Source organism: Homo sapiens, chromosome 13 (assembly GCF_000001405.40).
Source record: "Homo sapiens chromosome 13, GRCh38.p14 Primary Assembly".
In the NCBI taxonomy this organism is placed as follows: Eukaryota; Metazoa; Chordata; class Mammalia; order Primates; family Hominidae; genus Homo; species Homo sapiens.
In genome coordinates this window covers 36,008,593-36,025,420 of record NC_000013.11, presented here as the reverse complement: position 1 = coordinate 36,025,420, position 16,828 = coordinate 36,008,593, and the positions used below count along the sequence as shown (strand labels likewise).

Genomic DNA, 16,828 nt, shown 5'->3' with positions numbered 1-16,828 from the left:
AAGTTTTTGTGTGGCCATAGGTTTTCAAGTTTCTTGGGAATATACCTTCATTCTTTCACATGTGGGTGTCTGGTTGTCCTAGAACCATTTGTTGGATAGGATATTCCTTCTCCATTAAATTACCTTGGCATCCTTATAGAAAATCAATTGACCAGCTGGGCACAGTGGCTTATGCCTGTAATTCCAACACTTTGGGAGGCCGAAGCGGGTGGATCACCTGAGGTCAGGAGTTCAAGACCAGCCTGACCAACATGGAGAAACCTTATCTCTACTAAAAATACAAAAATTAGCCAGGCACAGTGGCCCATGCCTGTAATCCCAGCTACTCAGGAGGCTGAGGCAGGAGAATCACTTGAACCTGGGAGGCAGAGGTTGCAGTGAGCCGAGATCGTGCCATTGCACTCCAGCCTGGGCAACAAGAACAAAACTCTGCCTCAAAAAAAAAAAAAAAAGAAAGAAAAGAAAAGAAAATCAGTTGACCATAAATGTATAGGTTTATTTCTGGCTTCTCAATTTTATTCCATTGATCTTTATGTCTGTCCTTATGTCTGTATCATACTGTCTTGATTGCTTTAGCTTTTTAGGAAATTTTGAAATTGGGAAGTGTGTCTCCACCTTTATTCTTCTTTCTCGGGATTGTTTTGGCTATTCTGAGTTCCTTATATTTCCATAAGAATTTTAGATCAGTTTGTAATATCTACAAAAAAAAAGGCAGCTGAGATTTTCAATGGGGATAATGTTGAATCTGTAGAAGAATTTGGAAGGGGTTATTGCCATCCTAACAGTATTACATCTTCAAATCCATGAACACAGGATGTCTTCCCATTTATTTTGGACTTCTTTAATTTCTTTCAACAATGTTTTATAGTTTTCATTGTGCAAGTCTTATCCTTCTTTAGTTAAATTTATTTCTAACTCTTTAATTCTTTTTGATGCTATTGTGAATGGAATTGTTCCTTAAATTTATTTTTAGATTTCTCGTTAGTTTATAGAAATACAGTTGATTTTTGTATATTGATTTTGAATCCTGGAACTTTATAAAGGAACTCGTTTATTCTAACAGACTTTTTGTGAATTCCTTAGGATTTTCCAGATACAAGATCATGTCATGTGAAAATAGAGAGTTTTATTTCTTCTTTTCCAATCTGGATGCCCTTTCTATCTTTTCTTGCCTAATTGACCTGGCTAGAACCTGCAATCCAACACTGAATAGAAATGAGGAGAGCAGGCCAGGCACGGTGGCTCATGCCTGTAATCCCAGCACTTTGGGAGGCAGAGGCGGGTGGATCACGAGGTCAGGAGTTTGAGACCAGCCTTGCCAACATGGTGAAACCCCGCCTCTACTAAAAATACAAAAATTAGCCAGGCGTGATAGTGGGTGCCTGTAATCCCAGCTACTCGGGAGGCTGAGGCAGGAGAACCACTTGAAACCAGAAGGCGGAGGTTGCAGTGAGCTGAGATCCCACCACTGTACTCCAGCCCGGGCAACAAGAAACTGTCTCCAAAAAAAAAAAAAAAAGAAAGAAAGAAAGAAATGAGGAGAGCAGACATCTTCATCGTGTTCCCAATCTTAGGGGGAAAGCTTTCAGTATTTCTGTATTAAGTATGATATTCTCTGTGGAGTTTTTGTGGATGCTGTTTTATCAGACTGTGAAAAGTTCATTCTATTTCCAGTTTTTCTTACTGTATTTATTATGAAAGGTGTTAGAGTTTCTCAGATGGTTTTTCTACTTATATTGAGATGCTCAAGTGGGTTTTTTTCCTTTTTTATCAATGTGGTATTACATTGATTGATATTTGGATATTGTGATGGCCAACTTTCCATGTCAACTTGGAGGATGTTTTGGATAAGATTAACATTTTAATTGGGAAACTTTGAATAAGCAGACTGCCCTCCATAAAGTGGGCAGTCCTCATTCTATTGGCCTAAGACCTGAAAAGAGCAAATGACCCACCTTCTTGAGCAAGAGGGTCTCCAACAGACTGCCTTCTGACTTCATCTGCACTGTTGGCTATACTGGGTCTCTTTCTGCTGGTCTTTGGACTGGAACTGCACCATCAGCTCTCCTGGGTCTCAGGCTACCAGCCTTTGGAATAGACATGCACCATTGGCTCTCTAGGGTCTCTGCCTGCCAGCCCATACACTGCAGATTTGAACGTGCCAGTCTCCGTAATCACATGAGCTAATTTCTTACAATAAATATCTTTATATATGCATATCTGTATCTGTCTGTTGAACCAACTATCTATGCACATCTATCTATCTCTCCCTACAGATATCTATCCTATTGATTCTGTTTCTCTGGAGAACCCTGACTAATACAGATATTAAACCAATCCTGCATTCATGGAAATAATTCCTGTTGCTAATGGTATACACTCCTTTTTATATGCTGCTCAACTCAGTTTTCTAGTATTCGGTTCAGCATTGTTGTATCTATGTTCACAAGGGATATTTGCCTGTAGTTTTCTTTTCTTGTGATGTGTTTGTCTTGCTTTGGTACCAGGATAATACTAGCCTCAAAGAATGAATTGGAAAGTTTTATTTCCTCTTTTTTGGAAGAGTTTATAAAGAATTGTTGTTCATTTTCTTTACATGTTTGATATAATTTATTAGTGAAGTCATATGGTCCAGAGATTTCCTTGTGGAATGTTTTTTGATTACTAACTTATTCTCTTTACTTATTACAGGGTCTAATTAGATTTTTTACTTCTTTGGTAGTTTGTATATTTTAGGAATTCGGGCATTTCGTCCAGATTATCTAACTTATTGATTTACAACTACTGTTAGTTTTCCCTTTTAATCCTTTATATTTCTGCAAGGTCAAAAGTGATGACCCCTCTTTTACTCTTCATCTTAGTATTTTGAGATTTCTCTCTTTTTTTCTCAATAAGTTTTTTTTTCTAGCTAAAGGTTTGTTAATTTTGTTGATGTTTTTAAAGAATGAATTTGCTTTCATTGATTTTTCTCAATTAAAAACATTCTGTATTTTATTTATGTCTACTCTGATTTTTATTATTGCTTTCCTCCTACTCACTTTAGGTTTAGTTGGCTTGTTTTCCAATTTCCTTAAGTGGAAAGTTAGATTATTGATTTGAGATCTTTCTTTTTTTTAAGTAAAGGTTTTACAGCTATGATTTTGTCCCTAAGTATTAACTGCATCTTATCAGCTTGTGTTGTGTTTTCATTTTCGTTCATCTTGAACTATTTTGTAATTTCCATTGTGGTTTATTCTTTAATCCATTGGCTATTTAGGAGTGTATTGTTTAATTTCCATATATTCATAAATTTCTCAAATTTCCTTTATTAATTTCTAATTTCATTCCAATGTGATCAGAGAACATACTTTGTATGATTTCCACCCTTTTATATTTATCAAAGTTTATTTTATGGCTTAATACATGGTCTATCATTTTATGGCTTAATACATGGTTTATCCTGGAGAATATTCTATGTCTCTGTTGAGAAGAATGTGTATTCTGCTTTTGTTGGGTGGGCTGTACTATATAGTTCTATTCATTCTATTGTTTTATAGTGTTGTTCCAATCTTCCATTTTCTTTTTGATCTTCTGCCTAGTTGTTTTATCTATTATTTGAAAGTACAGTATTGAGGTCTCTAACTATTATTGTTGAATTGTGTACAGGTCCCTTCAATTCTGTCAGTTTTTCCTTCAGGTAGTTTTGGGTTCTAGTGTTAGGTGCCTATATATTTCTTAATTACCGTATCTTCTTGATGGATTGACCCTTTGTCGTTAAAAAATGTCCTTCTTTGTCTCTAGGAACAATTTTTGCCTTAAAATTTATTTTGTCTGATGTTAGCATAGCCACTCCAGCTCTCTTTTGGTTACTTTTGGCATATTATGTCTTCTCATTCTTTTACTTCCAAACTACTTGTATCTTTGAATCTAAAATATGTATTTTGTAGATAGCATGTATTTGGATCATGACTTTAAAGAAATAGTCTGCCAATTCTGCTTGCAATTGGAGTGCTTAGCCCATTAATTAATGTAATTACTGATAAACTAGAATTTCTTTCTGCCATTTTGCTATTTGTTTTTATACATTTTAAGGCTTTTCTGGTTATCTTACTCCATTACTACTTTTTTTTTCAATTAAATAAGTGTTTTCTAGTACATAATTTTAAACCTCTTATTGTTTCTTTTACTTTTTTTTTTTATTATTTTTATAGTGGCTATCCCGAGGAATACAATTATCATCATAAGACAATCTAGTTTGGTATAATGCCAATGTAATTTCAGTTATATACCAAGACTTTGCTCCAATATAGCTCTTTCTCCTTCCTCCTCTTTTGTGCTATTATTGTCACACAAATTATACCTTTATACATGAAGGCGGTGTTATAATTGTAGCTTTATGCAGTTGCACTTTGAATCAGATAGAAGAAAAGTGTTACAAACCAAAATATATTTTTACTGTATTTCACATTTACATACTTATATATTTGCCTATGTACTTGGTTACCTTTGCCAGTGCTCCTTAGTTCTTTATGTGGAATTAAGTTAATGTCTTGTGTCCTTTCATTTCAGCCTGAAAGAGTCTCTAGTGTTTCCTGTAAGGCATGACTGCTAGTGACAGATTTTCTCTGTTTGGGGTTTTTCTTTGTTTTTGTTTTTGAAGGATAGTTTAGCTGGATATAGAATATTTAGTTGATAGTTTTTTTTTTCTTTCAGCACCTTAAATATGTCATTCTGCTGCCTTCTGGTCACCACCGTTTCCAACAAGAAGTCAGATTTTAATCTTTTTTAGACTCTTATTAAGTTGTATGCTTGCTGATATCTTGCAGGTCACTGAGGGACTGTTCATTTTTCTTCATTGTTTTTTCTTTTTTCGTTCTTCAGACTGGATAATCCCAGTTGACCTGGAGACAAACAAATGGGAATAGGGGAAGAAAAATGCCACAAAGCTGACTCTTCTTCCTTAGAGTCAGCTGTTTAATAAATGCTCCTCAAATTGGTGCAAGCCTTTGGTTCATTTCCAGACTTCTAAGAAAAGTTTATTTTGATAACTTTTTGCCATTGTTTTTATTTCTATGGAGGAGCCATTCCAGAAGTGCTTCTTTATCATATATTTTTTTAACTCAATGACCTAAGGATTGTGTTCATCCTTTATGAAAGCTATTCAATAACCATTTATCATCTTAATCCATTTGTATTACTACAAAAGAATACTTGAGGGTGGGTAACTTATAGAGAAAAGAAGTTTATTTGGTTCACAGTTGTGCAGGCTGTACAAGAAGCATGGCACCAGCATCTGCATCTAGGGAGGGCCTCACACTGTGTCCAATCGTGGCAAAAGGCAGAGGACAGCCATGTATCACATGGCAAGAGAGGGAGCAACAGAGAAAGATGAGGGAGGTATTTAACAATCATTTATCATGGAAACTAATAAAACGAGAACTCACTCATTACTGGGAGGATGGCACAAAGCCATTCATGAAAAATCCACCCCCATGACCCAAACACTTTCCATTAGGCCCCACCTTCAATATTGGAGATCGAATTTCAACCTGAGACTTTGCAAGGCTAAACAAACCATATATAAACCATAGCATTGAGTAATACTATGAGCCATGTATCGGATGCTGAAGATTACAATGTGCCTTTCGCTGTCTTTTAAAACTCAGTACTGCTTACATTAGCTCCTTTTGTAGTTGCAATTTTTGTATTGCCAAGAGTTAGGAGGGATTGAATAAGAAGCATATGAAGAAATAAGCAGAAAAAGAAAATCTCTAGCATAGTACACCTCTAATCTATACATGAAACATAGTTAATGTGATGATGTTTAGAATCGTGATAAGTGTTCTCAGGTACATGAAGCTTCAGGGATATGAAGAAGAGGTGATGTGAACAAAGAAGTGAGGTCATTATTATGTAAGCTTAAACACATTGATGCATACATTAGTGATGTATATATACTGTGCTGTGTAGTAAGTGAAGAAACAGGCTGACAATACTTTTGATAAGACTCTGGATAAATAATTATCTGTTAATCTATCAGTTACACTTTTTCAGGTCTGGCATTTGGGGCTAGAAGGAGAAAGGTTCAGTAGAAAGGTCCAAAGCTTAAGGAAACAGTGGCCAAGTTATTTGAAAACTGAGTTCTGTTTTCTACATAGGCTTGGATCTTGGGAATACGGGATAGTTTGTTTTTAATCACAGGAACCATCTTATCAGTTTCTATAATAACTAAAAGAACAAATATGAGAAGGTTAAGGAACAGCTTAATTAAAATGTTGGAGAAAATGACAGAAATAAATTAATTCAGAGAGTGCCTTTGACATTAATCATGGAAAAAATGCATCTCATTTTGGTAGCATACTTAGAAAAAGCAAAATAAGAATAAATTTGCATGCCAATTAGATGCAAAGTTACCACACATACCTCAAGATAAATTTGAGATCCTGAAACAAGCAATTGGGTCTATAATATTTTGTAACATATTCATTTGGATATGTGCGCTATCTGCATTTTTAGTGAAAGAAAATGCATTCAATCAAGGGCCATAGAGAGAGTGCTATCAACAATATTCCAAGTTCTAAACTAAATTGCAGAAGATTGTCTGTGCAAGTTCACTTATAATGTGTATAATTTATATCACAGCAAAGTAAATATGGATGAAAGAAACATTTGAATGAGAAAGGGATACACTTTTAAAATTTTGCCCAACATTTTATACTTTTGGATAGCTAATTTTTTATTTAAAAATTATATTCTTCCATAAATAATTATCCATGAGAAAATCTTTATAGGTAGCCTTATAAAATGTTCACAGTAAATTAACACATTTGAAATCAAAATTAATAGGCACTGGTTGTGTATAAAAGAAGCATACATTTTGATTCATGTAATTTGTTCAATTGAGCAACCATGTAAAAAATAATTATGCTACATTTGTCAGACTCAGTTTGAGGATGACTAAAAGATGATTAATGATTTTGAAACATGCATAGAAAAACATTTTAAACTGATTTTTAGGAATGCTTAAAATAATTATTAACTTCAAGTTATAAACTGCACAAGAAAATTAACTTATGAATTTTATGCCATAAATCAAATTTGCTCCCTTAAGAGAAAAGATTTTTGTTTATATTTAATTGAAAAAAGAAAATGAATCAATAGAAAGGTTATGTACAAAATTGGATTTGTGTATAGGGATGTGTACAAACTGAGTCTATAGGGTACACATGACAATTGGTTACAATTTTACAATCATAATGTGTAGTGTAGAGAAATCAACAGCAGAGGAACCACTCTAACACATTAAGTTCCTTGGTCAAATAAAAGAGATTCTCCTGTTGAATAACAGAATTTAAAACATTTTCAGTGGTAGGCAAGTGTGTTAATCTTTCCTGGCCATAGTGGAAATAAAGGCCGTAGAAGAACTGAGTGATGTTATTAGCAGTGCAAATAGAGTTAAAAATTGCCATCATCTAGAACTGACCTCATGTGCTTGGGAAACTGAATCTTCTCGCCACAGATGGCTCTAATGAGTCGGGAGGATGGTGCTGGGCAGAGGTCAGTGTTGGAAGTCCTTTCTTATGGCAAAGAGTTTGCAGTCTGTGCATGCATGTGTGTGTAAGTGTGTGATGAGAGTTGCAGTTGTGGGATGTAAGAAATAAAATGCGGCTGCTTTTTGTATGGCAAACAGAAAACTAGATAAACAGTAAATTTTGAGATCTGGCAATGATAGGTAAAGAGGGGGCTCTGATAATTCCATGTGGTGGTTGGTGAAGCATTACCCTACACACACCATATTAATGACTAGTTTCAGAGATTGAGAATGCAATTAAATATCTGCTGTAAAATGATATTGAACACCATTTAGTTTTTCATTGATTCTGAAGTCATGTTTGGATCATACCATACCCCAGAGTACTCACTACAACATTAGCTATCGAGTCATACGTTTTTATAGATGTGTTGGTTAAAAGAGAATTCTGGTTTCCCAGAATGTTGGGTATCAAACTATCCCCTGCACTGGATTTTATTTAATTCCAAAGGTTATGGACTTTCCCAGTTGTGTTACATTCTATCTTCATCAGTCTAAATGACATTTTGCTCTTGACATTCTGTTCTTCTGTGTCTAGCCTTGGAGTTTTGTTTTTCAGTTATTTAAGGATATGATCACTTCCTTCTGAGAGGCTGTGAAAATAATTATTCCACGAACAGATCCCGCAGTTTGGAGATACGATCAGTAACTCCAATTCTGTATTAAAAGTTGCTATGATCCTTGTCTCCTTCCTTTTTTATTATTTCTAAAAATGTTATTACCTTTCAAAAAAATACATCTTTGCTTTCACAGGGATTCATGTGTTATTTTATCAAACTGCTTAGTATTCACCTTCTTAAGGTATTATGCAGTTGCTGATATTTTTCTGCAAGGCAAATCGAGCAACCTTTCTCATTTGGTTGGATGTTTTTGTTTGGAGTTGTTCTGTCTGATTTCGTGCCACTAGCCATGTGTAACTTAAAATGAGAGTAGTCTGACTTGAGGTGTGTTGTAAATGTGAAGTACGCACACCGTGTCAAAGACTTCATGCCATAAAATAATATAAAATATTTCAATAATTTTTATACTGATTGCATGTTAAAATAACATTTTAGATTATTAGATTAAATACATTATCAAAATTAATTTCATTTATTTCTTTTTAGTTTATTAATGTGGCTACTAGAACATTTAAAATCACATATGTGGCTTGCATTATGTTTCTATTGTTCGAGGATAAAGAAAATGTGTTCAGGTTGTTGCAGGATCCATGATAAAAACTCATGGGGTCATGTCCTTATTGTATGCTTCTCTCGTGAGATGAATGATAGGGAAGAGGAAATCCAGATAAAAGAAAGTGACTGTTTGGTAATTATTGGCTGTGCTTTTCTCTTCTACCATTATGTGTATGCTCCGTTAGCCTGATTTGCTTGGTTTAATTGCTGGGTTGGGATGGCTTCTTGATGGGGGAGGGAATGGAATCATTGTGCTATTTAGGGCTCCTTTTAATGGTGACCCCTTGACTAGTTGATCATTAATAGTTCACTCATATGACTGGGAAGGATAATGGCAGAAAGGAAATACAGAAAGTTTGTATTAAAATATGGCTAATACAAATATGAGATATGCTGCATTTTAATGTACTGTAGGTTAAATTTGCAAACCTATTCTGTAGAGTAAGCATGTAGCAGTTTGTGTTGCTTTCCATTAGTCTGTGCCTGGGGTTACATGTATAAAGCAGCAGTTCCCCCAGACTAGTGATTCTAGCCATTTGAACACGAAATGTGAATTTTACTGCATAATTGATCTGGTTGTTTATATCAGTATTTCTTGGCAAGACCATCTAAATGAAGTAAATTGTCCATGCACTAGCCTTCTGGTTGCTCAGTAGTTATTACCCAAATAAATATATGAAAGTATTCGATGTCCTAGCCACTGAGTGATTTGCTGGTTAACTGGTTCTAATTTCTAAACCTGTTTATGCTTGGATTTGCAGAAGTGTGACAGAATAAATATGGTCATGAGGACAGTCTTCTAACAAATTGATGTTTTTCATCTCTAGTCTGAATAAATACAATGAGGGCCTGAACTAGTCAGTGAGAGAGATGGAGAAGGCAATTGGATTAAAAAGCACAGATGCAAAATAAAGTCCTTTGGGAATGATCACTGGTTGGCAGGTGTGGGTGGTGAAAGAAAGAAATGGATTCCAGGTAAGCCCTAGATTGGTAGTATGGGCTAATGGCTGGATGTTGATGCCTTTTACAGGGTAAGGGCTGCTTTAGGAGAGGGGCAAGATTGAAAATAGGTTGTGACAGGCTCATTGTTAGGCATGTTGACATCACAGCATCATAGAAGCTCTGGCTGAAAGAAAACTTAAGTTCCATCTAGTCCAATAACTTATGGTAAGATTGGTAGTTTAATATAATAAATATTAAATGCCTTCTGTTTCCAAAGCTCTATGCCAGACACCAGAACTCCCCCATTGGAAAAAATTAAAAAGCTGGCTCATTTGAGGGTTTCCATTCCTAAAGAGCTAGTTTACCCAGGTTTTACTGCAAAACAGCTTTGGGTGATTCCCCCTTCCTTCTTCATCACTGAGGCTTGTCAATAAGGAAGGATCCCACATGGGGAGTCACTAACCCTCAAGCTAAACAGGAAAGCTTCAGAAAACACAGGTTCAAACTCATTGCAGATGAGAGATGGCACTTCATATTTCCTGAAGAAATTTGGAGGATGTTGGTGTAACTAATCCTCATTAATGTATTGAATATCTGCTATATGCCAAGGGCTGGAAATATATTGGTGAATGAAAGAGACATAATCACTGCTCCCACGGAGCAGATGCAATCACATCAAAAATTGTGTGGGGGGGCGGATAGGGAGAGAGAGAGAGAGAGAGAGAGAGAAAGAGAGAGAGAGAGAGGGAGAGAGAATTAATAATGGCACATTAGAACATGGTAGGGGAAAAGGATGTTTAAGCCAGGATCTGAAGGATGAGAAGAAGCCACCACTGAATTATGCACGGAACATTCTTCTGTGGTTAATGGAAAGGGCAAGGTCAAAAACATATGATTTACTTGAAATTCTGATGAGTCTATAGCTTAAGTTTAAACATCTATTTTCTTTTTAAATATACACCACTTAAACACACTAATATACTGAATAATTTGATTATTTTTCTCAATCATGTTTGTTCTTATTGTAAGACTAATTTTTTTACAGACTAGAAAAAGATAGAGAATTGTGATCAGTTTACCTGACTTACCTGTTGCTGTTGTTATTTTTCCCAGCAACTCCAAGAGATTGCAAATGGTTTGATAACATTTCTCCCATGAGAAACTTTTCTGGAAACAGTTCATCAGGATTGGGCTTTCATCTGTATTAGATTAGTTAGTCATTCACAGGTTGTTAGGTGACAGTCATAGGTTGTAAGCATTTTAGGTATGAGAAAATAAGGCTGTAAAAAAAAACAGTTTTTATCGGCTGTAATTTAAAATTTTAAAGGCAACAAAAAAGTTGCTCTCTGAAATATAATTCTGAAGAAGAATGCAAAGTAAGCTTCATCTGAATTGAAGAGAAGCCAGCATTTCCAATGGCAAGAATTAAGCCTGTTCACGTTTTCAAACATGCATTTTGTTTATATGATCTTCAGCTCTCTATAAAATTTTAGAGAGGGGTAGAGGAGCCAAGATGGCCGAATAGGAACAGCTCCGGTCTACAGCTCCCAGCGTGAGCGACGCAGAAGACGGGTGATTTCTGCATTTCCATCTGAGGTACCGGGTTCATCTCACTAAGGGAGTGCCAGACAGTGGGCGCAGGCCAGTGGGTGCGCGCACCGTGCGCGAGCCGAAGCAGGGCGAGGCATTGCCTCACCTGGGAAGCACAAGGGGTCAGGGAGTTCCCTTTCCGAGTCAAAGAAAGGGGTGACGGACGCACCTGGCGAATATTGTGCTTTTCAGACCGGCTTAAAAAACAGCGCACCACGAGATTATATCCCACACCTGGCTCGGAGGGTCCTAAGCCCACGGAATCTCGCTGATTGCTAGCACAGCAGTCTGAGATCAAACTGCAAGGCGGCAGAGAGGCTGGGGGAGGGGCGCCCGCCATTGCCCAGGCTTGCTTAGGTAAACAAAGCAGCCAGGAAGCTCGAACTGGGTGGAGCCCACCACAGCTCAAGGAAGCCTGCCTGCCTCTGTAGGCTCCACCTCTGGGGGCAGGGCACAGACAAACAAAAAGACAGCAGTAACCTCTGCAGACTTAAATGTCCCTGTCTGACAGCTTTGAAGAGAGCAGTGGTTCTCCCAGCACGCAGCTGGAGATCTGAGAACGGGCAGACTGCTTCCTCAAGTGGGTCCCTGACCCCTGACCCCCGAGCAGCCTAACTGGGAGGCACCCCCCAGCAGGGGCACACTGACACCTCACACAGCAGAGTATTCCAAAAGACCTGCAGCTGAGGGTCCTGTCTGTTAGAAGGAAAACTAACAAACAGAAAGGACATCCACACCGAAAACCCATCTGTACATCACCATCAACAAAGACCAAAAGTAGATAAAACCACAAAGATGGGGAAAAAACAGAACAGAAAAACTGGAAACTCTAAAACGCAGAGCGCCTCTCCTCCTCCAAAGGAACGCAGTTCCTCACCAGCAATGGAACAAAGCTGGATGGAGAATGATTTTGATGAGCTGAGAGAGGAAGGCTTCAGACGATCAAATTACTCTGAGCTACGGGAGGACATTCAAACCAAAGGCAAAGAAGTTGAAAACTTTGAAAAAAATTTAGAAGAATGTATAACTAGAATAACCAATACAGAGAAGTGCTTAAAGGAGCTGATGGAGCTGAAAACCAAGGCTCGAGAACTACGTGAAGAATGCAGAAGCCTCAGGAGCCGATGCGATCAACTGGAAGAAAGGGTATCAGCAATGGAAGATGAAATGAATGAAATGAAGTGAGAAGGGAAGTTTAGAGAAAAAAGAATAAAAAGAAATGAGCAAAGCCTCCAAGAAATATGGGACTATGTGAAAAGACCAAATCTACGTCTGATTGGTGTACCTGAAAGTGATGCGGAGAATGGAACCAAGTTGGAAAACACTGTGCAGGATATTATCCAGGAGAACTTCCCCAATCTAGCAAGGCAGGCCGACGTTCAGATTCAGGAAATACAGAGAACGCCACAAAGATACTCCTCGAGAAGAGCAACTCCAAGACACATAATTGTCAGATTCACCAAAGTTGAAATGAAGGAAAAAATGTTAAGGGCAGCCAGAGAGAAAGGTCGGGTTACCCTCAAAGGGAAACCCATCAGACTAACAGCGGATCTCTCGGCAGAAACCCTACAAGCCAGAAGAGAGTGGGGGCCAATATTCAACATTCTTAAAGAAAAGAATTTTCAACCCAGAATTTCATATCCAGCCAAACTAAGCTTCATAAGTGAAGGATAAATAAAATACTTTACAGACAAGCAAATGCTGAGAGATTTTGTCACCACCAGGCCTGCCCTAAAAGAGCTCCTGAAGGAAGCGCTAAACATGGAAAGGAACAACCGGTAACAGCCGTGGCAAAATCATGCCAAAATGTAAAGACCATCGAGACTAGGAAGAAACTGCATCAACTAACGAGCAAAATCACCAGCTAACATCATAATGACAGGATCAAATTCACACATAACAATATTAACTTTAAATGTAAATGGACTAAATTCTCCAATTAAAAGACACAGACTGGCAAATTGGATAAAGAGTCAAGACCCATCAGTGTGCTGTATTCAGGAAACCCATCTCACGTGCAGAGACACACATAGGCTCAAAATAAAAGGATGGAGGAAGATCTACCAAGCAAATGGAAAACAAAAAAAGGCAGGGGTTGCAATCCTAGTCTCTGATAAAACAGACTTTAAACCAACAAAGATCAAAAGAGACAAAGAAGGCCATTATATAATGGTAAAGGGATCAATTCAACAAGAGGAGCTAACTATCCTAAATATATATGCACCCAATACAGGAGCACCCAGATTCATAAAGCAAGACCTGAGTGACCTACAAAGAGACTTAGACTCCTACACATTAATAATGGGAGACTTTAACACCCCACTGTCAACATTAGACAGATGAACGAGACAGAAAGTCAAAAAGGATACCCAGGAATTGAACTCAGCTCTGCACCAAGCGGACCTAATAGACATCTACAGAACTCTCCACCCCAAATCAACAGAATATACATTTTTTTCAGCACCACACCATACCTATTCCAAAACTGACCACATAGTTGGAAGTAAAGCTCTCCTCAGGAAATGTAAAAGAACAGAAATTATAACAAACTATCTCTCAGACCACAGTGCAATCAAACTAGAACTCAGGATTAAGAATCTCACTCAAAGCCGCTCAACTACATGGAAACTGAACAACCTGCTCCTGAATGACTACTGGGTACATAACGAAATGAAGGCAGAAATAAAGATGTTCTTTGAAACCAACGAGAACAAAGACACAACATACCAGAATCTCTGGGACACATTCAAAGCAGTGTGTAGAGGGAAATTTATAGCACTAAATGCCCACAAGAGAAAGCAGGAAAGATCCAAAATTGACAACCTAACATCACAATTAAAAGAACTAGAAAAGCAAGAGCAAACACATTCAAAAGCTAGCAGAAGGCAAGAAATAACTAAAATCAGAGCAGAACTGAAGGAAATAGAGACACAAAAAACCCTTCAAAAAATCAATGAATCCAGGAGCTGGTTTTTTGAAAGGATCAACAAAATTGATAGACCACTAGCAAGATTAATAAAGAAAAAAAGAGAGAAGAATCAAATAGACACAATAAAAAATGATAAAGGGGATATCACCACCGATCCCACAGAAATACAAACTACCATCAGAGAATACTACAAACACCTCTACGCAAATAAACTAGAAAATCTAGAAGAAATGGATACATTCCTCGACACATACACTCTCCCAAGACTAAACCAGGAAGAAGTTGAATCTCTGAATAGACCAATAACAGGAGCTGAAATTGTGGCAATAATCAATAGTTTACCAACCAAAAAGAGTCCAGGACCAGATGGATTCACAGCCGAATTCTACCAGAGGTACAAGGAGGAACTGGTACCATTCCTTCTGAAACTATTCCAATCAATAGAAAAAGAGGGAATCCTCCCTAACTCATTTTATGAGGCCAGCATCATTCTGATACCAAAGCCGGGCAGAGACACAACCAAAAAAGAGAATTTTAGACCAATATCCTTGATGAACATTGATGCAAAAATCCTCAATAAAATACTGGCAAACCGAATCCAGCAGCACATCAAAAAGCTTATCCACCATGATCAAGTGGGCTTCATCCCTGGGATGCAAGGCTGGTTCAATATACGCAAATCAATAAATGTAATCCAGCATATAAACAGAGCCAAAGACAAAAACCACATGATTATCTCAATAGATGCAGAAAAAGCCTTTGACAAAATTCAACAACCCTTCATGCTAAAAACTCTCAATAAAGTAGGTATTGATGGGACGTATTTCAAAATAATAAGAGCTATCTATGACAAACCCACAGCCAATATCATACTGAATGGGCAAAAACTGGAAGCATTCCCTTTGAAAACTGGCACAAGACAGGGATGACCTCTCTCACCGCTCCTATTCAACATAGTGTTGGAAGTTCTGGCCAGGGCAATCAGGCAGGAGAAGGAAATAAAGGGTATTCAATTAGGAAAAGAGGAAGTCAAATTGTCCCTGTTTGCAGACGACATGATTGTTTATCTAGAAAACCCCATTGTCTCAGCCCAAAATCTCCTTAAGCTGATAAGCAACTTCAGCAAAGTCTCAGGATACAAAATCAATGTACAAAAATCACAAGCATTCCTATACACCAACAACAGACAAACAGAGAGCCAAATCATGAGTGAACTCCCATTCACAATTGCTTCAAAGAGAATAAAATACCTAGGAATCCAACTTACAAGGGATGTGAAGGACCTCTTCAAGGAGAACTACAAACCACTGCTCAAGGAAATAAAAGAGGACACAAACAAATGGAAGAACATTCCATGCTCATGGGTAGGAAGAATCAATATCGTGAAAATGGCCATACTGCCCAAGATAATTTACAGATTCAATGCCATCCCCATCAAGCTACCAATGACTTTCCTCACAGAATTGGAAAAAACTACTTTAAAGTTCATATGGAACCAAAAAAGAGCCCGCATCGCCAAGTCAATCCTAAGCCAAAAGAACACAGCTGGAGGCATCACACTACCTGACTTCAAACTATACTACAAGGCTACAGTAACCAAAACAGCATGGTACTGGTACCAAAACAGAGATATAGATCAATGGAACAGAACAGAGCCCTCAGAAATAACGCCGCATACCTACAACTATCTGATCTTTGACAAACCTGAGAAAAACAAGCAATGGGGAAAGGATTCCCTATTTAATAAATGGTGCTGGGAAAACTGGCTAGCCATATGTAGAAAGCTGAAACTGGATCCCTTCCTTACACCTTGTACAAAAATCAATTCAAGATGGATTAAAGATTTAAACGTTAGACCTAAAACCATAAAAACCCTAGAAGAAAACCTAGGCATTACCATTCAGGACATAGGCGTGGGCAAGGACTTCATGTCCAAAACACCAAAAGCAATGGCAACCAAAGCCAAAATTGACAAATGGGATCTAATTAAACTAAAGAGCTTCTGCACAGCAAAAGAAACTACCATCAGAGTGAACAGGCAACCTACAACATGGGAGAAAATTTTCGCAACCTACTCATCTGACAAAGGGCTAATATCCAGAATCTACAATGAACTCAAACAAATTTACAAGAAAAAAACAAACAACCCCATCAAAAAGTGGGCGAGGGACATGAACAGACACTTCTCAAAAGAAGACATTTATGCAGCCAAAAAACACATGAAAAAATGCTCATCATCACTGGCCATCAGAGAAATGCAAATCAAAACCACTATGAGATATCATCTCACACCAGTTAGAATGGCAATCATTAAAAAGTCAGGAAACAACAGGTGCTGGAGAGGATGTGGAGAAATAGGAACACTTTTACACTGTTGGTGAGACTGTAAACTAGTTCAACCATTGTGGAAGTCAGTGTGGCGATTTCTCAGGGATCTAGAACTAGAAATACCATTTGACCCAGCCATCCCATTACTGGGTATATACCCAAATGACTAGAAATCATGCTGCTATAAAGACACATGCACACGTATGTTTATTGCGGCATTATTCACAATAGCAAAGACTTGGAACCAACCCAAATGTCCAACAATGATAGACTGGATTAAGAAAATGTGGCACA

At 37.6% G+C, this 16,828-nt stretch overlaps 1 protein-coding gene across 6 annotated transcripts in view, besides 1 other annotated feature; it reads left to right on the top strand.

Annotated features, from left to right (window-relative positions):
- The window catches only part of DCLK1 (doublecortin like kinase 1), a 363,288-nt gene that overhangs the window by 106,519 nt on the left and 239,941 nt on the right, over positions 1 to 16,828 (top strand). The gene's annotated exons all lie outside the window — the stretch shown is intronic.
- Positions 10,533 to 11,732: an enhancer, noted in NCBI's record as "MED14-independent group 3 enhancer chr13:36587826-36589025 (GRCh37/hg19 assembly coordinates)". NCBI's record gives its function as "activates an origin of replication core promoter dependent on BRD2, BRD4, P300/CBP and CDK7 cofactors, and independent of MED14, by STARR-seq in HCT116 cells {active_cell/tissue: HCT116}" and the evidence as "EXISTENCE:reporter gene assay evidence [ECO:0000049][PMID:35650434]".